Source organism: Homo sapiens, chromosome 8, assembly GCF_000001405.40.
Source record: "Homo sapiens chromosome 8, GRCh38.p14 Primary Assembly".
Lineage (NCBI taxonomy): Eukaryota > Metazoa > Chordata > Mammalia > Primates > Hominidae > Homo > Homo sapiens.
This window is the reverse complement of record NC_000008.11, coordinates 127,649,707-127,675,939: the sequence shown is the minus strand read 5'-3', so window position 1 is coordinate 127,675,939 and position 26,233 is coordinate 127,649,707. Positions and strand designations below refer to the sequence as shown.

The window sequence follows — 26,233 nt, the reverse complement described above, 5'->3', positions numbered from 1 at the left end:
AGGTAGTGGAGGTAATATGTTTTGCTCACTTTTTTAGAAAACACATTTTTGTTTCAATAGCTCTTGGAGTACAAGTGGTTTTTGGTCACATGGGTGAATTGTTTAGTGTTGAAGTCTGAAATTTTAGTTTAGCTTACCTTTTGAATGGATTCTGTAAGCTCAATCAAAACTCATTGTTTTTAAGCATCAACGACTGTGTCCACCATAGGGCTAGATGAATTCTTACTTAACTTCTCTTCTTCTTCTTACATGCTTAGAATTGCAGCCTTGACTTCAATATGATGTATATTCAAACACCAGGCAAATTAGCTTATTTGTGCATTGACTACAGAAAACTCTGTTAGTCTTACTTTGTAGGAGTAAACATCAAATGCTTCTGACAGCGACACTCAAATGACATGCTAAGATTACATCTTCAGAAGTTTAAGAATATAAAGAAACATCTTGAATTAGAAAACAGTACCTTTTTGTTTATATAAGTAATGAGTTTAAGGATCTACAACAACTCAGTAGTTAGTTGTGAATTGCCGTTGGCTTCAAGGACATAATAACAAGCAGTAGGTATATAATACATATTTGTGGAACTGAATTGAATTGGCTTATAAGAAAGACATAATATTTAAATCCTTAGCTGTGAAGAACTTACCAGGGCTGCCTATTATTTTTAGAAGATTTTCTTGTCTGATCCTGCTCTGAAGTAGCTAACATTGGCTACATGTCTGCTATGTTCCAGGGACTTTACAAGCAGTATTTACGTTAAGTTCTGTGGTAGCCAGTCTTGAAGAAGGCCCCGGTGATCCTGCCTCCCTCCTGGTGTTCACACTTTTGTGTAGTCCCCTCCCACATTGTACCAGGGTGGGTCTATGTGGCAGAATTGGTGGTTTCTCACTTTTTTTTTTTAAAGGGCAGGGTCTCGCTTTTTCATCCAGGCTGGAGTGCGGTGACATAATTACGGCTCACTGCAGCTTCGACCTCTGGGCTCAAGCAATCCTCCCACCTCAGCTTCCTGAGTAGCTGCAACTACAGGTGCATGCCACCATACTTGGTTAGTTCTCTTTTTCGCAGAGACGAGGTCTCACTATGTTGCCAGGGCTAGTCTCGAAGTCCTGGACTCAAGCAAACCTCCCGTCTTGACTTGCCAAAGTGCTGGGATTACAAGCATGAGCCACGGCACCAGGCTGCGTTCTCACTTTTGAGATTAGAAATATTGGCAGCTTCCATTGTGTTCCCTCTTTTTCTCTCTTGGATCATTCACATGTCATGAGAAGCCCCAAGGTGAAGCCTACATGGTGAGAAACTGAGGCCTCCAGCCAGCAGCCAGGTTAATGGGTTTGAAAGCAAATCCTCCAGCCCAATCCAGCCTTCAGATGACTGCAGCCCTAGGTGACAATGTGACAGAGGACTCAGGAGGAACCCTAAGCCAGAACCACCCTCTCATCCATGCTTAGACTCCTGATCCTTGGAACATATGTGAGTTAAAAATGTGCTTGTTGTTTTAAGCCATTAAATTTGGGGGTAGTTTGTGTTACACAGCAAAGATAATTAATAGAATTCCCATAATAGTTCTTTGGAAATGGATATTGTTTTCTATATTTTTACAGTAGAGAAAAGCAAAGCTCACAGGGTGAAGGATAGAAGGACCATATAACTTATTGTTTAAACTGGGACATTTTGAGCATTAAAGGGATGTTCTTATTAATTACACTGAAACAGCAGGTGTAAACTCGGACAGTCCCTGAGTCCTGGCAGAGTATGGGGGAACATCACTTTACTTACGTAATTTAACTAGGGTCTTCAGCCACCAAGTATCAGAGTTTGGACTGGTCTGAAGTATGTCAGTTTCCAGAGTGTACACCTTCCTGCTGCTTCCCTGGCTATGTCCTAAGCACGTATCCAGCAATAGTAGAACTCCAGACATAAGAAGTGATATACATGCACAGCGTAAATGTATTTTGATAACTACATTTTTTTTTTTTTGAGACAGAGTCTCATTCTGTCACCCAGGCTGGAGTGCAGTGGTGTGATCTCACCTCACTGCAAGCTCCGCCTCCCGGGTTCACACCATTCTCCTGCCTCAGCCTCCCGAGTAGCTGGGACTACAGGTGCCCGCCACCATGCCCGGCTAAATTCTTTTTTTTTTTTTTTGTATTTTTATTAGAGACGGGGTTTCACTGTGTTAGCCAGGATGGTCTCCATCTCCTGACCTCATGATCCACCCGCCTCCCAAAGTGCTGGGATTACAGGCGTGAGCCATCGCGCCTGGCTTGATAACTACATATACATGTATATAAGTACAGGAAACAAACACGGATTAACACTTGGTTGTTTTTTTCATTGTGTCTTTGTGTGTATTCTACAATTATAAAGAAATGCATTCTTTTTAAGGCTGGGCACGGTGGCTCAGGCCTGTAATCCCAGCCCTTTGGGAGGCTGAGGCTGGAGGATCACGAGGTCAAGAGACCAAGACCAACCTTGCCAACATGGAGAAACCCCGTCTCTACTAAAAATACAAAAATTAGCTGGGCAGGGTGGTGCATGTCTGTAGTCCCAGCTACTTGGGAGGCTGAGGCAGGAAAATCGCTTGAACCCAGGAGGCAGAGGTTGCAGTGAGCTGAGATTGCACCACTGCACTCCAGCCTGGCGACAGAGCGAGATCCATTTCAAAAAATAAAAATGAAATGCATTCTTTTTAAAAACAAAAATCTCTTTAAAATATTAAGTGAAGAGCTCTTGGCCAAAGGTTTGGAGGAACTGCATGCATGCAGGTATCCCAGGTAGCAAGCTGAAGTTTAGAATTTGCCAGTGTGAGTCACAAACTAATGACCAAGCATCCTTGTAAAACATTCATGTTTTCATCTCTGGGTGGGTCTGTGTTGGCAAAAAAAAAAGAAGCTGAGGGCAGAGAAATTTCCCAGGAAATCTAAGATAGGTAGTTCTAGGATGAAAAATTCTATTAGGTTGGTGCAAAAGTAATTGCAGTTTTCCCTTTAATTTTAACAGTAAATACAGCAATTACTTTTGCCCCAACCTAATACTGTCTAAGCCCACAACACACACAATTGTCTGAGGACTTTAGGCAAATAAGGGCTGGTTTTTCTTTGTATTTCTGTCTCCCTACTGTATCTGTTTCTTTCTTGCTTCCTTCTTCTCTTTCTTTTTTTCTCTCTCCCCTTTTGCCTCTCTTCTTTTCTCCTTCCCTTCTGTCTTTTCTTCCTTCCTTTCTTCTCTCCTTCTCCACCTGACTTCTTTCATTCATTATTCCCAATTACTTACTGGATGTCTACTATGAACCAGGAAATATGCTAGATGCTAGAGATACTATTCATTCCTTCAAAAAATATTCAGTCCTTCTTATGTTCCAGGCACTATTCAAAGCATTGAGTCTCTAATAACGAGGTAAACAGACAAAAATTCCTGCCCCTCTGAAGCTGTAGTGAGGCAATATGGACAATAACCAAAATAGATAAATAAAACACATAGCATGTTGGATGGTGATGAAGTCTATAGAGAAAAGCAAGGTGGAGAAGGGACATAGGAAATGACAACGTGCTTAGAGTGTGGTGGGCTTTGGTTTTAAGTGGGCTGGTTAGGGAAGATCTCACTGCAGGGATAGGAGGAGGTGAGGGAGATGGTCACATAAATAACTGAGGGACAGGGTGTTCCAGAAGCAAGGACAGCAGTGCATAGGCCCTGAGGTGGGCACGTGCCTCATATGTTCAAATAACAGGGAGGAGGCTGGTGTACCTGGAGAAGAGCCAATGAGGAGGCAGGTCCCAGGAGGTAGAGGCAGAGAGCTGATGGGTGGACAGGATAGTCAGGATAAAGATTGTGTAGGTTCTCGTAGGTAAGAAGAAGGACTTTGACTTTGAGTCTGAGTGAGGTGGGAGCCACTGGGGGCTTTTTGAGCAAGGGAGTGACACCAACTGATTTGCATTTTACAATTTTTCTCATTTTTCTCTGGCCTTTTAGTGCTGGTGAATAAAGGTTCAGCTTTCTCTCTCTGTTTTTTTTTTTTTCTGTCGCCCAGGCTGGAGTGCAGTGGCATGATCTTGGCTCACTGCAACCTCCGCCTCCCGGGTTCAAGGGATCCTCCTGCCTCAGCCTCCCAAGTAGCTGGGATTACAAGGGTGCACCATCATGCATGGCTAATTTTTGTATTTTTAGTAGAGAACGAGTTTCACCATGTTGGCCAGGCTGGTCTCAAACTCCTGACCTCAAGTGATCCACCTGCCTCGGCCTCTCAAAGTGCTGGGATTACAGGTGTGAGCCACCATGCCTGGCCAAAGGTTCAGTTCTCTAAGAGCTCATAGCCCTAGTTGGGGAGAAAGCCCTGGAAACATTTATGAAAGTGAAATAAAATGCTACCGATATATGATAGAATTTGTCCCAGGGATGGGAGCATGAAGGAGAGCACTTGGCCTGGACTGGAACCCACTCGAAGGAGGTGTCAGGAAATACTTCATAGAGGTGGTGTCATTTGAGCTGAGGCTTGAAAGATGAATGTAACTTATTAATCAAAGGAGAGGGGAAAGGGCAGTCCAGGAGGAAGGATCTGCATAAGCAGAGGTGTGGAGGCTTTAGAGGGTATGGCATGCTGGGAGAATGACCACAAGCAGTTTATTACAGGAATGGAGCAAGGAGAGTCCGGATAGAGAGAGTCAGGAAAGGACTGGAAAGATCCTGTAGCCCCTGGAAACTCCAGGAAAGAGGAATTGGAGGTTCTCGAGTAAGGTCTAGTAGAGAAGAATTGTGACCAGACTATTGTCATGGCTGGAGTGCAGACAAGGGTTAACCTATATAGTTGTCACCTTTCAAGTTGCCCCATATATTGCCAGGAAATGGTTTGAGGAGTGTGATTTAGCCAAGGCAGGATGCTTTCTGGCTTTGCAGCTCCTCCTCTGCGAGCAGTCCTGGGTGCTGATACAGGGCTCAGGAATGAGCCTCTCAGCAGGTACTAGGCGTGCCATGTGCAGGCTCTTGCAGCCCAGCTGTTGCCCTGGCAGCTCCATGACCACACCTCTGTGCCCAGACATGGATCAGAACTGGGAGAAAAAGAGAAGGTGGTACCTTCTATCCCCTTCACCCTGGGTCTTTCAGGATCTGCCCCAAGGAGCAGAAAACGGGTGCGCCCAGAGCAGCTTACTCAGGAGACGCTTGCTGTATGTATGGCCTGGGACAACTGTAAGAGCCCTGAGGGCACAGAGTATGGGCAACAGGTGATAGCAAATCAAGGAGCATATTTAGCAATGCCTGTGCTACCTAGCAATGAGAAATCTATGAAAATAGCGACACCACAGGAATAGGGACTGCAGAGTGGGAAGAAATGAGGGGTGACCATGTTGAAGAAACTGTGTTTCGGCAGAGGAGAGAGCAGAGCAATGGGGTGAGGTGGGAATGCTTTTGGGTGGGCTTCAGAAGCAGTGAGGTCAGTGTGGCTGTCGTGAGGTGTGGAGAGTTGGGGAAGAGGAAAGGGGGTACCTGAGTTACCTGGGGCCACGTCACGTAGGGCCTGGTGGGCTGTGGTAGGGACTTGGGATGTTTCTCTAAGTGCAGAAGATTTTGAGCTGGGGAGATGTGATTGGATTTATGTTGTAGGGGCAATAGAGACTAGGGAATTGAACAGGAAGCAGGGAGGCCAGGAGGTGGCAGCTGTAGAGGTCTGGAGGCTTGGATGTAACCAGGAGGGTTGGACAGAGCTACAGGTCAGACTGGGTCCACATTTCAAAGGGGATCTTAAAGGCTGTGAGAGGGACTATTACATGCCACCAATATTGATTGTGCTCCTACCATCAGGATACAGAGATGAGACAGTGATTCCTGTCCTCAAGGAGGTTACATTCGCATGGGGAGAGACACATAGCAAAAGAGACCACCAAGGCAAGTCCGCCGAGAGATGATGAGAGCCCAGAGGGCATATCACTAAGAGAAGGCCAGGAATGATCTCACGGAGCAAATGGCAATTGGCTTGAGTTTTGAGGAAGTAGAAGTTTGGTCAACAGGTAGGAAGCTGAGTAGGAAGGGAATTTCTGGCAAAGGCACAGTTGCTGGTTCAGTGGCATCGTTCCCTCTGGGGAATCTGGGAAGACTGTGCCTGACTGTGGTTCCTGATGGGATTGCTGGTAACTGGCTCCAGAAAGATTATTTGGTGGATAAAAAAAAAATGCAGGATATATTTGGAAAACTACAAGTTAGCCTCTAAGCTGGCAATGTGATGAGGGCATGGCAGGGTGCCTCTAGGTTCTCTACAGTAATGGGGCTCTGAAGAGAAATTGAGGGGACTGTGAAGCTGTGTTTGCACAGTTCTCTGCATAAGATTTGGAAACAGCTGACAATGCGCATTAAAGAATGAGGGTGCTGCTAATGGAGGTCATGAGAGTCACCACTCCCTAAACTTGCTCCTTGGCCCCCTCTTTGAGCTTGGAGGTAAATCTGTGGAGGCTAAGGTTGGGTGGGGCAGTGTATGTCCTGTTAATGAGTTAGGACCACAACAAACAGGGAGCTCTTGATGGGGTTCCTGAAGGTGAGTGAGAAGCTCAGGTGAGTCCTCTAGGGAGTTCACTCTGGAGTGTTGAGGGAGACAGAGTAGACAGGACAAGACAGCAGCTGAGGAAGAGGATGGCTAGAAGGCTGTTGCAAAATTCCACTATGATCTTCCCTTTGTAAAACCTTCTTTGGAACACACCCCAGAATACACTGGAAAATTCAGAAAGGTGGACAATGGAGAAAGGACAGGAAGCAAGTCCCAGAATCCACAGCAGCTCCCCAGCACCCCGGGCAAGCACTACCTCCCTGCCAAGGTTCAAGTGGGGCTCTCTTGGCAGCCTCCATAGGAACTGGCCCGGGGCGAGTTCCCGGGGTAAAAGGTGCAACCTGGGTGTGGGCCGGTTTCCTTGTGAAGGCTGTGGCTTCCCCTCAGGCTCACCCTTGCTGATGCTGAGTAATCTGCAGGCTGCAATCTGCCCGTGAAAGAACTCTTGCAACACATTGTGTGAGGATCCCAGGTAAACAGCCAATGTGTGTGCCCAGAGCTGCACTTACGTCTGTCTTCTAGGGAAGCCTCCCTCCCCGCTGGCCTTCAGGCTGTGCCTCCACCCTGCCTCTGTCTTGTTCTCTTAGGCTGCCCTGTCCTTCCCTGGGAATCAGGTCAAGAGCCCTGCTGGCAGGTGTCCTAGAGCATGAATCAGGCCCCTGGCAAGGAGAAGGCGGGAGATCTTGGCTGAGATCAGGTAGGAAGGTTTATTGGATGATGTGTCTGGTCAATAGCCAATCTATTAACCCCCCCTGAGAGAATTAGGAACCTTCATATGATGGGTCATCTCTTTGTGGGAGAAGTTTAGATAACTGGAAACCACATTTTGGTCAAGAATGACTCAGTTAATTTTTCCATGCCTTTAGTGAGGATTTAATTTTGCACGGGTAAGTGACTTCAGAGTGGTTGGTGAAAGCTGGCTGGCTGTCATTTTGTCTGGCAGTGCAGAGTGGCAATTTATCCCTTTAGGTGGCCCAAGATTTGGGTGGCTGGACTTTCCAAGGCAATTTAATTTAATTTATTTGTTTATGCTGAGCCTTGGGTTAATGCTTTCAAATGGTTTATTTCAGAGATCTGATAACCTGCGGACTGACTTTCTCCTTCTAGACTTGTGTTGATTTGATTCAACAGACCCTCATGACTCATGAAGCACCTATATGTACCAGTCATTGTGATAAATCTGGGGATTAGACAGGGGCAAAACTCAGTCCTTGTTGAGTTAGCTCATGGTGCAATACTGGACTCAGACATAAACAAACACACAGAAATGATAGGTTTGTGTGGCATGCTGAAGGCCCAGGTAAGAAGGAATTCATTCTGTTGGATAAGGCGGGGACTCAAGGAGGCTTCCTGGAGGAAGCGAAATCCTAGATGAGTCTGAAAGGGTAAATAGGAATGAATGCTCTCCAACTCTGATGGAGTTGATGATCTCAGGGTTGGCCTCTTTTCATACTGGTTTTGAGTATAAATGATTAATTTGTTTGTAATAATTAATAAAAAGAAGAAGAATGCATTCACAAGCATCACAAGTGAATCCATCCCTGACTTCTTAGTAATTTCCCCTTTTACACCCTGCTAATATGATCCCTGTTTTTTGCCCTTTATGAAGTGGTCCACAGTGTGAAAAATTTGAAAGGCCCCAAAGAATGAATAGTTCTTCAGTAAACGAATTGGAACAGCATATTGGGCATGGAGTCAAGATGTTGACCTATGTAATTCTTTTGACTTTTTTATTTTAAAATTACTATGATTCCTTCAGGGCAAGCACTGCTTTAATAATTCATCTTTCTGTCTTCAAAAGTCAGCCCAGTGACTGTCCCTTATTCCACAGATGTGGAACCAATTCAGGATTGTCCTTGTGATTCTTTTTCCTAAGTGGAATACTGAGCCTCCAGCTTGTGTGTCATATGTGTGGACTTTTCAGCATATTCTTCTCTGGCCCAGAAGTCTGGATTCTTCTTGTCTGTTGCAATAATATAAAGGTTGGAATTTTCAAAGTCTTTCCAGACCAATCTTTCTAATTATTTGGCTAGGCCCCTTGGAACGGTTCTCTAACTTGCTTTACTTTCCTTGTTTTTCATTGAAGTTATTCAGAGCTGTACATGAAGAGAAGTCCCACAGGGACCCTGGGATCAGAAGAACTCTGGGAAATGCCTGGCCCAGCCAGTGCTGTTCTAAAGATCCTCATCCTCATGGAGATAACCATTTTTAAGGAAGAAAAGAGGATCTGGACCCTACCCATCTCAGTCTCCATCAGATCTTATGGATGCTCCAGGAATTGGCCATGATTCTCCTCTTTTCTACCATCTTGTATGTTGGGCTTTGTAGAGGATAGATGTTTTCTAGAAGAATGGCAGATAAGGCAAGGTCTGCAGCTTGCCATTGATAGTGTCTTTATCAACAGATCTGTGAGGAATTGTGCAGCTGAGAGGGGAGAAGAGAAATCAGAGAGTGGATGGACTGCCACAGTTCAACATATACTGGTGCTTTCAATATAGAATCCACAAGGCAACCTGCATGCTGGGCTCTGTGCTAGGCACTAGGGGTATATCTATGAGATGCCACCCCAGCTCCCACAGTCTTACAATCTAATGGGGAAGAGAGATATGTCAATAGACAAACGCAGCAGATGGCAAGTGCTGGGATATGAAACAGTAAGCAGAAGCCACAGTGTTCTCTGGGACTTCTGAGCTGAGTCCCAAAGTAATTAGATTAATCCGTCATGGGAGGTGGAGTGGGTAGGGGGAGCTCCTGGAAGCATGATCAAAAGTGGAGAGCTAAGGTGAGGGAGAAGAAAGAAATGAGATTCAGCAAAGAGGAGGAGAGCAATGAAGGGCCATGTATGACCAGGCGAAGGCAAATTGTTCGGACCAAACATGACAGTAGGGTGGGTTTTTGAGGGGTATCCACTGCACTTACAGAGGCAAGATTCTCTATGGTGACCTTTCAGTGAGGGTGGGCAAATACACTACTTTTTGAGTCAGCCATTTTTCACTACTGAGCACCTCTGGCCTTAGCAAGTTCTGAGCATGAATACTTTCTTCTGTTTCTAAGCCATTCAACAAATATCAAAGTGCTTTCCCATGTATTGGTCATCTTAGGCAAACTGGGTGGACATGTAGAGCAAGACGTAATGAGGTAAGCACTCACTAGAGCTAGGTCATCTTAGAAAAGTCACTTAGCTTCACTGAGCCTCAGTCTTCCTATCTGTGAAATGGGGATAATGACCCTTATGTCACCTGGTGGGCAAGGTCTAAATAAAATCATTGTAGTTAGATCCATAGTAGGTTCTTTCTGACCTACCACTGTGCACCTCACGCCGTTGCTATTCCAGTGGGATATATCCAGTGGGGTTACGGGTATGACATTTCGGAACCCCACCATCACTTGTATCAGCAGGTCTGTCCTAGGTTCCCCAACTAAGCTTCCTGGATGAGGCACCTAGTGGCGTCCCCTAGTTTGAGTGTGGGGGGTTTGGTAAACTAGTCCTTATGTATGCTTGTCAGATGGAGGGTACTGTCTTTAAGATGGGCTCATAGCTGAATCTGGAAGGTAAGTGCTCCAGGCCAGTATTGTTTTCTGCAGGATTCAAAGTTCCCTTGCTATTTCTGCTGACTTTGCTTCCCCTCTCGTGTTCTATATCCCAAACCTATTATCTTCACCAGCGTTAATTTGCCTCCACAACTCTGTTTTTGCATTTTGAAATGGAATTTCCCTTAACCTATATTCCTCTGGTTCCCAAACTCCACCTGCTTCAGTTTTTTTTTCAATATCATCTACATTTCCTTCACTAGATTATAGCCTTAGTCATTTGTACCCTTAGAATGAATATTTTTTTCTGTCATATCTTTGTTTGAACCTTTTCACATTTGACTTCAGACATTACCCATCTCCTTCATCTGACCACTTTCTTCACTTTTCTCATCTTTCCATTTTGGTTGTATGTCTACTGAGCAAGGGGCTCTGTGCAGAGCATTCAAAGATGACTGAGATGTAGTCTTGTGGGTAGAGAGAGACAATTAGAATGCACCGTGGAGAGTGTTAGGTTGAGGGAAGCGGAGATTACAGGAGTCCAAATGTCTTATCCGAGGATATGGGATAGGCTTGAGAGAAGATGCTGAGCTCATGTAGGTGAGGTATTGTCCTACGTGAAGGAAAAGAGGCAGGAGATGGCAGCTTGGAGGCTATATTACTTTCTCTGGGGCTGCCATACCAAAGTACCACAAACTGGGTGGCTTAAAACATCAAAAATGTATTTTCTCACAGTTCTAGAAGGTAGAAGCCCAAAATCAAGATGTTGGCCCTACAGCTGTGCTCCTTCTGAAGGCTTTGGGGTGAATGTGTTTAATGCCCTTTTCTTAGCTTCTGCCCTTTTCTTTTCTGGCCTTCACAGAAGGCCAAAGAGCAATCCTTGGCCTTCCTTGGCTTGTGGATGCATCGTTTCAGTCTCTGCCTCTGTTTTCACATGGCCCTCTTCCCTGTGTATCTGTCTCTACGCTGCTTCTCATCTTATAAGGACACAAGTCAGATTGGAATAAAGCCTATTCTAATTCAGTATAATCACATCTTAACTTGATTATGTATGCAAAGACCATATTTCCAAATAAGGTCACATTTTCAGGTCCTCGGGGTTAGAGCTTTCACATGTCTTTTTGGGGGACATAGTTCAACTCATAATAGAAACCTCGCAGATAAATCATTTTGGCCGGTGCACAGAGTTAAGTGGTGGATTATCAAGAATATGGAATTTTAGAATTTTAGCTTCTTGGTTGATTTTTGGGAATTAACATACAGGAGAGCAGGTTTAGAAGTAACAATAACACTTTGAGAGGCCGAGGTGGGCAGATCATGAGGTCAGGAGATCGAGACCATCCTGGCTAACATGGTGAAACCCCGTCTCCACTAAAAATACAAAAATTAGCCGGGCATGGTGGCAGGTGCCTGTAGTCCCAGCTACTCAGAAGGCTGAGGCAGCAGAATGGCATGAACCCGGGAGGCGGAGGTTGCAGTGAGCCGAGATCGTGCCACTGCACTCCAGCTGGGGAGACAGAGTGAGACTCTGTCTCATAAAAAAAAGAAGTGACAATAACAATAACAGAGGCTGGTCTTCTGGGAATGATGCGATACTCTTCAGCCAGCCTTTCTGTTTTGAGCGAAGCCCCAACCTGGAGTTCAAAGAGAGTGAGGGCGCTTCCTGTCTTCTTGTCTTTCTCCTCTCTCCTGCTACTTGTTATGAAATTCAGAACAATTAGAGATTTTCTGTCTCATCCCTGGAATGGTGTTTCTCCTGCTGGCCCTATCAGGCTGGTGTGTTGATGTTATCGGGGAGAGGCTGTAGTTACTAGGATGAAGAAGGCAAGAGAGAAATGGAATTCACGCAGATCAAACATGTGTAATCAGAAGACATTACTGAGGCTTGATGATGCTGTTCAGGGTGTATTTCCCTTGAAACGCTTCTTAAAAGACAGCAGCTTAAACAAATGGGCAAGATGAGATTCACAGAGGTAACATTTCAGAGAGAATGTAGGTACAGCTAAGCAGAGCTAAGCAGTGACAGAAGGAGAAAGTGTGTCTGAAGAAAAATCTTCATTACAGATTTGAAAGAAAAAAAACCCATCAAATCCCTCTGCCTTGTGGGTCTCACAGGAGGCAAACTTTCTTTACAAACTGTGTGTTTGTGTTTTGAGTGACTAAGAGTTCAGGGACAAGTTCAAACACACCTAAGTTCAATTTAAAAGTAAATGAGATGACATTGGAGGAAATTTATAATAAAATGTCACTCTTTACCTAACACCATTTTCTCTGGAATTCAAAATATCCATTGTTTAAAAGTGACACAGTAACTACCATCTAGTTTGCTGAATGACCTTCTTTATAGCGTCATGGTATTAGAAATGGCTTCAGAAGGAATCACTCAACTGCATTTATCTGGCAGGAGAAAAATGCAGGTAGTATTTATTTTGGGGTGTGGTAGGGGATGTCCCCTAGCAAGGATCCTAGAAGTCAGTGTCAGGTATGAGAACAAGAAACATTCATTTATTGCATGCATACTCATTGAGTCCCTACTATGTATTGGTATTATGTGGCAGTATGAATATTCTCATTTGTTAAATAAAGATACTTGAGTCTGCTTTCAGTGTTGTGGGTTTTGTTATTAAGAGTAATACAGTCATGTGTTGCTTGATCATGGGGACTTGTTCTGAGAAATGTGTTGTCAAGCAATTCTGTCTTTGTGGGAACCTCGTAGAGAGTAGGGTACTTACAAAAACCTAGATGGGATAGCTTAATACGCACCTAGGCTGTAGGGTAAAGCCCATTGCTCCCAGGCTACAAACCTGTAGAGCATGTTACTGACTGAATACTGTAGGCAGTTGTAACAAATCACTAGGCAACAGAAACTTTGCAGCTCTGTTATTATCTTATGGCACCACTGTTGTGTATGCAGTCTGTTGACCAAAACATCATGTGGTTCATGATCGTACTTATAGTACTAAGTGCCAGGCATTGAACTGTGCCAAGTGTCAGGGCTGAATGAGCTCATTCAATTTTTCTAATAAGTCTATGAGGTAGTTACTGATATCGCCCCTGCTTTACAGATGAGGAAACTGAGGCACAGAGATAAGGAATTTGGATAAATTTTTATAACAGGTAGGAGATAAGTGATGAAGAGACACTGAATGATTGAAAACTCACTTGGTTTGATTTGCTTATGTGAAAAATGGATTTAAGGAAGGCAGCGGATGCAAGCACGGAGGCAGGGAAACTGGTTGATGTGTGGATTGAGTGAGTTAATGTGTGTCAAATGCCTAGAATGGTCACTACACAAGTATTTGCTATTGTTCTTATTTTTGTTGTAATCAGTCAGAATGGTCTAAGTCAGTGGTCAGCAAACTTTTTTTATGCAGAGCCAGATAGAAAATAATTTAGGCTTTTTATGCTCTTAGGTCTCTCTTGCAATTACTCAATTCTGCCCTTGTAGCATGCAGGCAACCATAGTCAATGTGTAAATAGGAACGAGCATGGCTGCATTCCATTGCATGTAGTTTATAAAACTATAGCCCACAGACTATACTTTGCCAATTCTTGGTCTAGACTATGCTGTAGTTATAATTCCCAAACCCTATTGGTTTATAAGGGTTTACTATTATTTCTACAACTATCAGTCAGAATGAGCTAGACTATGCCATATTAACGAACAACCCCCAAACCTTAGTGGTTTACAAAAATAAGGATTTTATTCTTGGCTCACATTACATGTCCAATGTGGGTTGGCAGGGGAACTCCAGTTCCTGCTTCACGACTCTGAGACCCAGGCTGATAAAGCAGCCACCACCTCAAAGATTTCTGATTCGTAAGAGAGAGGTAGAGAGACAGAGAAAACTTTTGATGTGATCCTGTCTAGAAGTGCACAGGTCACATCTGCTCACAAACCTAGTGACTGGCAGGCACTAGGCACATAGACTGAACTATTCACAAAGGGCCCAGGCAGGACAATCCTACCAGGTTCCTAGAAGGCAGGGAGCTGGGCACATTTGGCAAGCATTACCAATGGTTATTGTTACCTACTACTAGGCATCCAAGTCATGTGTTACAGCTAGGACCACATGGAGAAAGAAACACTCAGTGTAATTTCAAATTGCAGAGGAAAAGAATCTGATTGGTTCATTCTCAGTCAGAGATCCATTGTTGGTTTAATTAACTGAAGAGGGTTGGGGTATCATATTGTACGAATGTAGTCGTTGGGAGCCAGCCCATCCTTTGGATGGGGGGAGGAGGAATTGTGAAGAAAGTTAGGGGAGTTATTTTAAGTTGGTGAAGTTACTTCAATATTAATATACCTTAATAAAGAGCCAGATAACAGCAGTTCAACTTTCTGAAAAGTCAGTGGATAGAAAGACAGCCCTATATATAAATGAAAGCGAAGGAGAGCTGGCATGGGCAAGTTGAGGCATGAGTCCTGGTTGCATGACTAACCGGGTATGTGGCTTGGGATAAGTCATTTCAGAATGTATTGGCATCTTGGGTTTTTGTCTGTGAAATGAATACTTAGTAAAATGGCAGACAAAAGAAGTACAACTTGCTGAGAAAAGAGAGGTGTGTCAGGACGTTTTGGAGTCAAATGAGATAATGGATGTGAAGATGCTTTGCAAATCATATTCTGGTTTTCTTAATTGGGCAGCCTTGGCCACATTGCTTATCATTTCTCAGCCTGGCCTCCTTCTTTAACTTGGAGATAAAAAGATCTGCACTTCAGAGTAGTGAAGATTAGAGGCAAAGAAAACTGAGCACTACAGCATTAGGTCTGGCAAGACACCCAATTAACGATGGTTCTTATTACTACTGGTGTTTACTTGCGGCATTTGAATTCGTGTCTCATTGGATTCCATGATTGACTCAGCAGATCCGACTGGTTGAGTGTGTTTATTTTCTCTTCTTTCTTGCTGCCATTGACATCCATGGCTCATGAATATGCACTCTTTCATGAGCACATAGGGCATGAGTAAGGCTGATCCTTCAAGCAGGTGAGCTTCTGTGAGATGTAATTCGCGGGATAGTATCCTAAATTACACCCTTCACCCACTGGTCTGTCTGGGATTCTCATTTTTTGGGTCATGTATTGTGTATTAATCAGGGTGTTGTTTCTATAGGAAACTCATGAAAACAAACATGTAATCCATCACTAGATAGAAGCAGATGAGATATCTGACCTTCTGCTGTGGGATTAGTCTTTGAAGGAAAAGGGCACAGGACAAATGTGACTGCATATTGGAAAGTTGGAATTGCCCAAGGAGTTAAAACTAAATGCATGGGACTTACCTGCAGAAATTCTGATTTCATTTCTCTGTAGTGTGGCCTGGTTTTGGAGATGTTATAAAGCTCCCCAGGGCCAGATGTGGTGGCTCACTCCTGTAATCCCAGCACTTTGGGAGGCCGAGGCAGGCAGATCACGAGGTCAGGAGATCCAGACCAGCCTGGCCAATGTAGTGAAACCCCGTCTCTACTAAAGATACAAAGAACTAGCAAGATGTGGTGGCGCGTGCCTGTAATCCCAGCTACTCAGGAGGCTAAGGCAAGAGAATCGCTTGAACCCAGAGGCAGAGTTTGCAGTGAGCTGAGACCGCGCCATTGCACTCCAGCCTGGGTGACAGGGTGAGACTCCATCTCAAAAACAAAAGACAAAAACAAAAACTTAAAAGAACTAACTTTTTGTTAAGTACCAATCATGCCTAGAGTTGCCCTGGACCTTTTGAATAGACCACATTCTACTTCATGTAAGGCACAATAGATTGTGTGATGCTTCTTTATGTATCAATAAGATAATTTTTTAAATGCTACCAATTATAGTTGTAGGAAACTATGAATTGCAAGTGGCATTCCAGTGTCAGAGATGTTAAAATGTGAGGAATGAGCATCTTAGAATAATTGCACCACCTCACTCCAGCCTGGCAACAGAGCAAGACTCCATCTCAAAAATAAAAAAAAAAGCTCCCCCCAGATGATTCTCATGTGCAGCCAAAGTTGGAAGCCACTAGTTTAGAGCACAGGATACTGTTAGAGAGGACAGATCTATTTGGGAATCTGTGATGAGCAAACAAGGGGAGGGGGAAGATGAGGTGCCAGGGTTTCTTCAAAGAGGAAATATGAGAGGGTAGGAGAGGGAGAAGGAGGAGAAGACAATTTCACTCATGCTTAATCTAAGCCTGAGAACTGTTGTGAAATTTGTTAGGAAGAAGTGGTGAGAAGGGAGAAGATGAGGGCTAGTCTCAGAGCACCCCGTGACTGTTAATTTTATGTGTTCAATTTGACTAGGCCATGAGACCTGGATATTTGGTGAAACATTATTCTACACCTCTCTCATTTAGATGAGGTAGACATTTAAATCAGTGGAGGTTGTGTAAAGTGGATAACCCTCAATAACATGGGTGGGTCTCATTCAATCAGTTGAAGGCCTTTATAGAAAAAGACTGATTTCCCTGAAGGAAGAAGGAATTCTGCCATCAGACAGCTTTTGGACTGGAACTGTGATTCTTCTCTGGGTCTTCAGCCAGCCCACCTACCCTACAGATTTTGGACTTCTCAGCCTCCACAATTGTGTGGGACAGTTTCTTAAAACTTTCTCTTTGTGTGCATGTGTGCACGCGTGTGTGTGCACGCACACACACACACACACATGCCCTATGGGTTCTATTTCTCCAGAGAACCCTGACTTAACAACCCTAATGAGGTGGTATTATTAGTTGCCTCATTTTACAGTTAAAGAAAGTGAGATGCTTAATAACGTGCCCAAAGTTGCACTTTCAGGAGTAGGGGAAACACAAGACACAGGATGTAAGACCAGGGAGTCTGGCTCTAGCATCGCCTGAGCTGACTCTCAGAGTCTTTTCAAAGAGGGTGTTGCTGTGGTACACAGTCATGAAAAGCTAGATTTTTTTTTTTGAAGACCACCTTAACCCTCAAACCTTAAGTTTCTTTGTTTTCAAAACAAGGGGGACTTTTTAGATGCCATATGAATTTTAGGATTTTTTTTCTATTTCTGTGAAGAATGATGATGTTATTTTGATGGGAATTGCATTGAATTTGTAGATTGCTTTGGGCAGTATGATCATCTTCACAATATTGATTCTACCCGTCCATGAACATGGGATGTGTTTCCATTTGTGTTGTCTATGATTTCTTTCAGCAGTGTTTTGCAGTTTTCCTTGTAGCAGTCATTCACCTCCTTGGTTAACTCTATTCCTAAGTATTTTATTTTATTTGTTGTACCTATTATAAAGGGAATTGAGTTCTTTATTTGATTCTCAGCTTGATCATTGTTCATGTAGAGAAGTGCTACTTATTTGTGTACATTGATTTTATATCCTGAGACTTTAGTGAACTCGTTTGTCACACCTAGACAATAGACATTGGCACGGATGTGGTAAGAAGGGAACACTTTTATGCTGCGGGTGGAGATGTAAACCAGTACAACCACTATGGTAAACAGCATGGAGACTCCTTAAAGAGCTAAAAGTAGAACTACCATTTGATCCAGCAATCCCACTACTGCGTATCTATCCAAAGGAAAAGAAGTCATTATATTAAAAAGACACATGTACATGCATGTTTATAGCAGCATAGTTTGCATTTGCAAAAATATGGTACCAATCTAAATGCCCATTAACCAATGAGTGGATAAAGAAAATGTGGCATATCTACACTGTGTAATACTACTCAGCCATAAAAAGGAATGAAATAATGTCTTTTGCAGCAACTTGGATGAAGCTGGAGGCCCTTATTCTAAGTGAGTAACTCAGGAATGGAAAACCAAGTATCATATGTTCTCACTTATAAGTGAGAGCTAAGCTATGAGAATGCAAAGGCATTACAATGATATAATGGACTTTGGGGACTCAGTAGAAGGGAAGTTGGAAGGGGGATGAAGGATAAAAGACTACATATTGGGTATAGTGTACACTGCTCGGGTGATGGGCATATCAAAATCTCAGAAATCACCACTAAAGAACTTATTCATGTAATCCCAAACCACTTATACCCCAAAAACTATTGAAATAAAAATTTAAAAAATGAGGGGAACACCAGATGAACCCTTTCAGACCTGTTGATCTGTAACAACTAAGAGCAGACATTAGAAGCTGATGCCTGCCTATTGGCAATTGTAGCTGTCAAGAGTTTCAGCCTTGCTGCTAGGTAGTGAAATTAACACCTGCTTTGCCTTCTTCCCTGCCTTCCCTCTGCTGGGTCTCATCTCCCCTCATTCTCAAGGGCTGATCCCTTAACTCACTGGTACCTGTTTGGTTTCTCAAATTGCATTTGAATCTTCCTCAGTGGAACTCTTCCTGCTGCCTCTGTCTGATGTATTAGCAATGTCAGAAGCTCAGAATGACTGCTTCCAGCCAGACATTGGGTTGGTTTTAAATGTATTCATCTCTTGTCATACCAGTTACTGGCACTGTTTTTAAGCTCGTGTGTGTGTGTGTGTGTGTGTGTGTGTGTGTGTGTGTGTGTATTGTGTGTTATTTTCTAAGTAAGTAATTAAATTTTTAGAATCATACAGCTCTCTGTGTAGAACAGCTTTGTGCAAATACTTTGAATTTTATTCCAGTTTATAGCACATCAATTTGTTTTCAGCATTTTCTCAGTCTACTTTCCATCTGCCTGAACTCTGGTAGACTGAAGTCCAGTTTTGGGTGATAAAGTGATTAGCAGCATTTGTCTGCTCTTAGAGCACTTGGGATTCAAGTCTCCCCTATATCTCTTCTTCTGTATCTCATTGCTTTTGTTTTTTTTCCCCCATCTTGACACTTTTTCAGTATATCAGGAATCTTTCTTCATATATATATGTTTTTTAAGACAGAGTTTCACTCTTGTTGCCCAGGCTGGAGTGCAATGGCGTGATCTCGGCTCACCACAACCTCCACCTCCCAGGTTCAAGCAATTCTCCTGCCTCAGCCTCCCGAGTAGCTGGGATTACAGGCACCCACCACCACTCTCAGCTAATTTTGTATTTTTAGTAGAGACGGGGTTTCTCCATGTTGGTCAGGCTGGTCTTGAACTCCCTACCTCAGGTGATCTGCCCACCTCGGCCTCCCAAAGTGCTGGGATTACAGTGTTGAGCCACCATGCCCGGCCGCATCTTTCTTTTTAAATCAACTTTACTGAGGTATAATGGACACACAGTAAGCTGATGTATTTAAAGTATACGATTTGGTGTTTTTACATATGTATACATCCACAAATCCATCCCCACAATCAAGATAATGAACATATCTATCACCCCCAAAAGCATCCTGTGTCCCTTTGTAGTGACTTCTGTTGTTGCACCCTTTCCCCACCATATGTTAGTTTACATTTTGTAAAATCTTATATAAATGGAAGCATACAGAGTGAACTCTTTTTGTCTGGCTCTTTTACTTATTTCTGAGTTGGTATTTCATTGTACGGATATACCACAATACATTTATTCATTCGCCCAGGGATAGACATGTGGTTGCTTTTAGCTTTTGAATATGACAAATAAAGTGTCTATAAGCATTCACGTAGAAGTCTTTGCATGGACATATGTTTCCTTTTTTAAAAAAATTATTTATTTATTTTTTAAGATGGAGTCTTGCTCTTATCACCCAGGCTGAAGTGCAGTGGCATGATCTCAGCTTACTGCAACCTCCGCCTCCAGGGGTTTCAGTGACTTTCCTGTCTCAGCCTCTTGAGTAGCTGAGATTACTGATGTGCACCACCATGCCCAGCTAATTTTTGTATTTTTAGTAGAGACGGGGTTTCATCATGTTAGCCACGGTGGTCTCAAACTCCTGACAGGTGATCCACCTGCCTAGGCCTCCCAAAGTGCTGGTATTACAGGTATGAGCCACCATGTCTGGCCCTGTTTTCAGTTTTTTTTTTTGTTTGTAAATATCTAGAAGAATGGCTGGATGATGAGGTAGGTATGTATTTAACTTTTAAAGAAGCTGCCAAACTGTTTTCCAAAGTGATGGTGCCGTTTTAACATTCCCAGCAGCAGCATATGAAAGGTCTAATTGCTTCACATCTTTGCCAACACTTTGTGTGGTCAGACTTTTTAATTTTAGCTTTCCTAATACATGTGTAGCGGCATCTCACTGTGTTAGCGTACATTTCCTAATGATTAATGATGTTGATCTTTTTTTTTTTTTTTTTTTTCTGAGACAGTCTTACTCTGTCATGAGGCTGGAGTGCAGTGGTACAGTCTTGACTCACTGTGACCTTGACCTCCCAGGCTCAGGAGATCCTGCTACCTTAACCTCTTGTGTAGCTGAGACTACAGGCACGTGCCATCATGCCTGTAGTATTTTTTGTATTTTTCGTAGAGACGAGGTTTTGTCATGTTGCCCAAGCTAGTCTCAAACTCCTGAGCTTAAGCAATTTGCCCACCTTGGCCTCCCAAAGTGCTGAGATTACAGGTGTGAGTCACTGCACCTGGCCTAGCATATTTTATGTGCTTATGTGCCATCCACATATCTTCTTTGTTGGAGTATCTGTTTAAATCATGTTTAAATCTTTTGCCAATTTCTTATTGAGTTTTTAATTTTCTTATTGTTGAGTTTTGAGGATTCTTCATATATTCTAGATATAAATTCTTTTTCAGATATGTCACTTATAAGGACTTTCTTTCAGTCTGTGCTTGTATCTTTTGATAAGTGGATTTTTTTTTCTTCAGACAGAATATTGCTGTGTTGCCCAGGCTGGAGTGCAGTGGTTTGATCTCAGCTCACTGCAACCTCCGCCTCCTGGGTCCAAGTGATTCTTGTGCCTCAGCCTCCTGACTAGCTGAGACTACAGGCATGCATAGGCATACCCAGCTAATGTTTGCATTTTTAGTAGAGACAGAGTTTTGCCATGTTGGCCAGGCTGGTCTTAAACTCCTGGTCTGAAGTGATCCACCTGACTGGCCTCCTAAAGTGCTGGGATTACAGGCCTGAGCCACTGTGCCCAGAAGAAGTGCTAATTTTGATGAAGTTCCATTTATCATTCTATTTTTTTAATGCTTTTGCATCATATGTAAGAAATCTTTGCAAAACCCAAGGTCATGAAGATTTTCTCCTGTTTTCTTCTATAGGTTTTAGAGTTTAAGGTTTCATGTTTAGGTTTATAATCTATCTTAAGGTAATTTCTGTTTGTGATATGAAGTATGGATCCAAGTTTCCTTTTTTTTTTTTTTGCATATCAAGATCCAATTGTTCTAGCATCATTTGTTGCAAAGTCAATCCTTTTTTCCGCTGCACCTTTGTAAAAGTTCACTGTCAATATTCATGAGTTTATTGCTAGACCCTGTATTCTCTTCCATCGATCTATTTGTCTGTCTTTATACAAATACCACAGTGTTTTGATTCTGAAGCTTTATAATAATTCTCAGGATCAGGTAATATTAGTCCTTCAACTTTGTTCTGTTTTTACAGAGTGTTTTGTTTTTGTTTTTGTTTTTTTGACTATCCTAGGGTATTCGCATTTTTATATGGGGAAATGAAAGATGGTCTCTGTTAATGTGGCTTTATTTTCTCCACTTATCAAGAGGTCCCTGAGGGGGTCACTTACATGCTTCACGTCTACTGCACTGCCTTTTGAGAAGAAAAGTGTCAGGGTTGACTAATTTCTCCAAATTTGGAGAAGGGCTAAATTCTGAAACTCATGACCTTTCAGAGCCTCCTGGCTGATAGCATTTTCTCCTCCCCTTATAACCTGCCTCCTTAAGTGATCACCTTCAAGACTGGTTTGAGATGCAGTGGGACTTTTAAGTGAGACTAAACTCCCTGAGAGTGAGAAGTTGGTCTGTGTTCCTCACTTGCCTCCCTAGAAACAAGCACATTGTCTAGTGCCTAGTAATTGCCCAATGACTATTCTTACAGCCAAATCTGTTGCCAAGTGAAGCTTGCTCTGGGAGTTAAAGTCTTGCCTTGTATTGCTCTGCTTTCTGGTTTCAGGGAGGATTAAGGTGAAAGGAGGGCCTCTGGTGGCTCTGGAGCTCCCACTGTGTGCAAGGCATCATGGCAGGAATCCACACATAGGCTATCCCACTTACTCTTCACCATTACTCTGCAACAAGGAAATATTATTCCCATCTATTACTAATGAGGAAATGGAAGCTCAGAGGGTGTATTAGTCAGGGTTCTCTAGAGGGACAGAACTAATGGAATAGCTGTATATAAAGGGAGTTTATTAAGTATTAACTCACATGATCACAAGGTCCCATAATAGGCTGTCTGCAGGCTATGGAGCAAGGAGAGCCAGTCTGAGTCCCAAGGCAAAAGGACTTGGAGTCTGATGTTCGAGGGCAGGAAGCATCCAGCACGGGAGAAAGATGTAGGCTGGGAGGCTAGGCCAGTCTCTCTTTTCACATTTTTCTGCCTGGTTATATTCTAGCTGTGCTGGCAGCTGATTAGATTGTGCCCAGATTAAGGGTGGGTCTGCCTTTCCCAACCCACTGACTCAAATGTTAATCTCCTTTGGCAACACCCTCACAGACACAATCAGGATCAATACTCTGTATCTTTCAATCCAATCAAGCTGACACTCAGTAGTAACCATTCCAGAGGGGTTAGGGAACTTGTTACCACGCAGCAGAATTGAAATTTGGACTCCTACTTTTCCCAATACTTTAACCTCCCTCCCTAAGTATCTAAGATATGCCAAAGTCATTTACTTAGGAAACATATAGCTAAAACGCATTAAGCACTTACTGTGTGGCAGGCACTAGGGACCTGGTGAACAATGAGTGGTTTGTGGTAGAGGCTACAAGGGAGGCAGGGACGGGGGACATTGATGAGGAGAAGAGAAAGGCGCTGGCTTTGAAGGGTGTTAACTACCAGCCTAAAGAACACGGGCTCTATCCGGTAGGTGTTGGGGAATGGTGGAAGGGTTTTATTCAAATGCAGAACAGGATTGGACTTATATTTAGGAAGAGCATCCAGCAGCAGTGTGGAGGGCAGATGGCTGTGGGCGAGGAAGGAGTCAGGAACAGTAGTTATGACACCACCGAAAGAGAGAATAAAGATGATGGTGACGAGGCGGCTGAAGGAACTGAACAGTTATGTATAGCAGACACTGTGCTTAGTGTATTCCATGTGCTTGCTCATTTAATATTCAGAACAACTGCATGAAGCCAATGCTACTATGATCACCATTTTCCAGATGAGGAAATTAAGCCACAGAAGAGTTAAGTAATAATCATTCCAATCATAATAGAATAAGCCCTGAAACGATGTTCCCTGTTCACACCTGTAAGATTCTCTTACAGTTTTCAGCCAGTAAATTGCAGAACCAGGATGTGAGCCTATACATCCTAAATGCCAAGCTGTATTTGTTTTGTCGCTTACCAAATCACCTCGCATCACAGACACCCAAGGGGGGGAGAGAGAAATCTTTGTGATCACAAAGGCCACCTCGCTGCCCCTCCCAGCCCCATCCAGATGTGTGAATCTCTCCTGTGCCATCTGCTTAATCATCTCCAGTGATGAGGGCTACCCTCTCTGTCCAGGCATCCTGGACCACATTTTGACACCAGCATTATGAAAACTTGATCTTTGTTTTTGAGCCCTGGTGAACTTGGCTTGCTGCTTCCAGGGCTTTCTCTGAGCCTCTGCTGGCCTTTTTTTCTACTTAATAAGCACCTGAGGGTGTGAACTGTGGCTACTGGTACAATCTGGGACAAAGTCCACCAGGGATTTTAAGGAGTGTTCTTTGCATGCAAAATATCACAAGGTGGCTGAGGCCATGCTAATTGGCTACATTTGAACTACAACAACATTCAAACCCAGCAAGACAATTAAAGCTGAAAATGATCAGCTGGGATTAAAAGGATCCAAAGGGTAATTGCTTCATAACAAGCTACATTGCTCCAAGTAGCAGGAAGGATTGACGAAACTGGAATTATTATATTGGAATACTTGTTTATTTTTATAGCGTGTTTTAAAATCATTTGGATTTGGCCAACTTGTGCCTTTTCCCAAATACTCCTGGGTTTGGTTAACTGCCTTGGATTTATCTGCCAACTGCAATTACTCCTGTTCTTGGAAACTACAGAGGCACAGAAACATACTCACCATTTATCAGTGTGATAAATACTTTTATTGCCTTGGTAATAATGATGCCTACATTTGTATAGTGCTTGTAACGTTTTCAAAATGACTTATGTCTGTTATCTCAGTTTGAGAACAACCCGATGGTATGGTTAAGGGTTGGGGTTCCGATTTGGAGATGATAAAGGCAGGGAGAAGTGAGCCGTGTAGCAGATTAACATTAGTGCTCACACGAGAATCCCGTGTGCCTGCTCTCACCTGGGGTATTCTAAGAAGGAAGCATCTTGTTCAGCAGGGCTGAACCCCGCCAACCCAAAGTGAAAAAGTAATTGTTGGGGATTAAGAGGAAGGTGAAACTCATTGATAAATTAGCTGTTTGAACTTTACAATATGAAAGAGATCAATCGTCGGTCAGATAGGAAAGGTGCTTTCAGAAATAAAGTTGCTGCAATAACACCTAAGGTATGAACTTTGGTTTGGAGTTGGTAGTCTTGGGCTTACATTCTGCCTCTTCCTTTTTGTGGTTCTGTATCTGTTATTTGACTAGTCTTCTGGATCTTAGTTTCCTCTTTTGTACGATGGGTCTAACAAGGACATTTCTCCGGTGTTATGGTTAAGGTCAAATGAAACCGTATATGTGCTGGAGCTAGACAAATATGGGGTACTTTGGTCACTGGCATTTTTCTGTCTGATGTTCCTACTTTAACTGTGATAAGATATTCAGAAGACCAGCCACCTTTGCAGCTTGTTTCTTGAGAGACTTCATTCCCTACATTTTAAGGTGTGTTTAAAGGGATGTTTTCCTTATTATAATAGAACGAGTTACTAGGGTTTCACAATTTAGGAACAGGCAGAAGTCTTTTCTAGATACACACAAAGTGAATCAACCACCTTAAACCAAGCAGCATCTAAGAGATGTGCCTTCTAGTTCTGAAACGGATACAATTTCCAGCTTTTGTGACAACCCTGCCAGTTTAGCCTGCTCTAATATTTGTTCTGGGTGTGAGATTTTCTTTCTTCTCTCTTTTCTTTTTTCTTTCTCTCTCTCTCTGTTTCTCTCTCTCTCTTTTTCTTTCATTCTTCTGAGACAGAGTCTGGTTCTGTCAACCAGGGTGGAGTGCAGTGGCATGATCTTGGCTCACTGAAACCTCTGTCTCCTGGGCTCAAGCCATCCTCCCACCTCAGCCTCCCAAGTAACTGGGACTACAGGCATGTGCCACCATGCCCAGCTAATTTTTGTAATTTTTTTTGTAGAGATGGGGATCTTGCCAGTATGCCCAGGCTGGTCTCAAACTTTTGAGCTCAAGTGATCTGCCCGCCTTGGCTTCCCAAAGTGCTGGGATTACAGGTATGAGCCACCAAGCCTAGCAGGGGCTGAGGTTTTAAAACAACACCAGTTTCTCAATGTAAAGCCTTAGGGTATAGAAAGGATTCTTTCAGATTTTGCAGTCTAGTAAAGACTGTTTTTGTGCAGTGCACTCTGGACTAACCCTTACAGATAGAAAGTATTGTTCTAGGCATTGTAGGGCATGCAAAATAAATAGAAGTTAGTGTGTCTCCAAACATGAACTTAGAATCTAGTTGGAGAAAAAAAACAAATACACATAAAGTACTTATATTTAGCTCTCACCAAGCTTTTGTTTGGTGCCAGGAACCAGGTGGAGCCCGCTGTCTATATCATCTTATTCCCACCAGGTAAGTACTATTTCTTTTATCCTTAGTTCACAGCATAGAAATTGAGGTTCAGGGAGTTTAAGGGCCTTTCCAAAGACAACTCTGTCCACCTGTCTCTAAAGGCCACACTCTAACCACCTGCTAATCAGTACTTCCAAACTCAATGAGTGGGTCTTCCCAGCCAGCTCTGAATCTGGGTTCATGGTTCAAAATATCGGGAATTAAAGTGCAAATGAATGGATTGCTTACAAAAGCGGTCACTTTAAGTAAAGGCAGTGAAGCCACAGGGGAGAAAAGTGACTTCTGGGATCCAACTGGCCTGGGTTTGAAACCTGGATCCGTCAGTTATAGCCTGCAAATAGTTCAGCCTCCCTGGAACTTGATCTCCACATCTCTATTAAGGAGGGAGAAGAATGCTTTCAACTTTAACTGAGATAACCTGTAGAAAGCACCTAGCACAGAGCATAGCACAAAGGCTGGCCAA

At 43.2% G+C, this 26,233-nt stretch overlaps 1 long non-coding RNA gene across 3 annotated transcripts, besides 2 other annotated features; it reads left to right on the top strand.

Moving 5' to 3' along the window:
- Nucleotides 6,380-6,880: an enhancer, noted in NCBI's record as "H3K4me1 hESC enhancer chr8:128681305-128681805 (GRCh37/hg19 assembly coordinates)". NCBI's record gives its function as "activates a minimal SCP1, AML or CMV promoter by ChIP-STARR-seq in naive H9 embryonic stem cells {active_cell/tissue: H9 hESC(naive)}" and the evidence as "EXISTENCE:reporter gene assay evidence [ECO:0000049][PMID:30033119]".
- Nucleotides 6,916-12,660, top strand: LOC105375754 (uncharacterized). 3 transcript variants are annotated; one of them, XR_001746085.2, is made up of 3 exons: nucleotides 6,916-7,001; nucleotides 7,117-8,511; nucleotides 8,616-12,660. It is a non-coding gene; the product is annotated as an uncharacterized LOC105375754 (long non-coding RNA). The 3 variants fall into 3 exon arrangements; XR_001746086.2 differs by having other exon boundaries at nucleotides 6,939-7,226; nucleotides 8,361-8,511; XR_007061106.1 differs by having other exon boundaries at nucleotides 6,939-8,511.
- Nucleotides 14,295-15,494: an enhancer, noted in NCBI's record as "MED14-independent group 3 enhancer chr8:128672691-128673890 (GRCh37/hg19 assembly coordinates)". NCBI's record gives its function as "activates an origin of replication core promoter dependent on BRD2, BRD4, P300/CBP and CDK7 cofactors, and independent of MED14, by STARR-seq in HCT116 cells {active_cell/tissue: HCT116}" and the evidence as "EXISTENCE:reporter gene assay evidence [ECO:0000049][PMID:35650434]".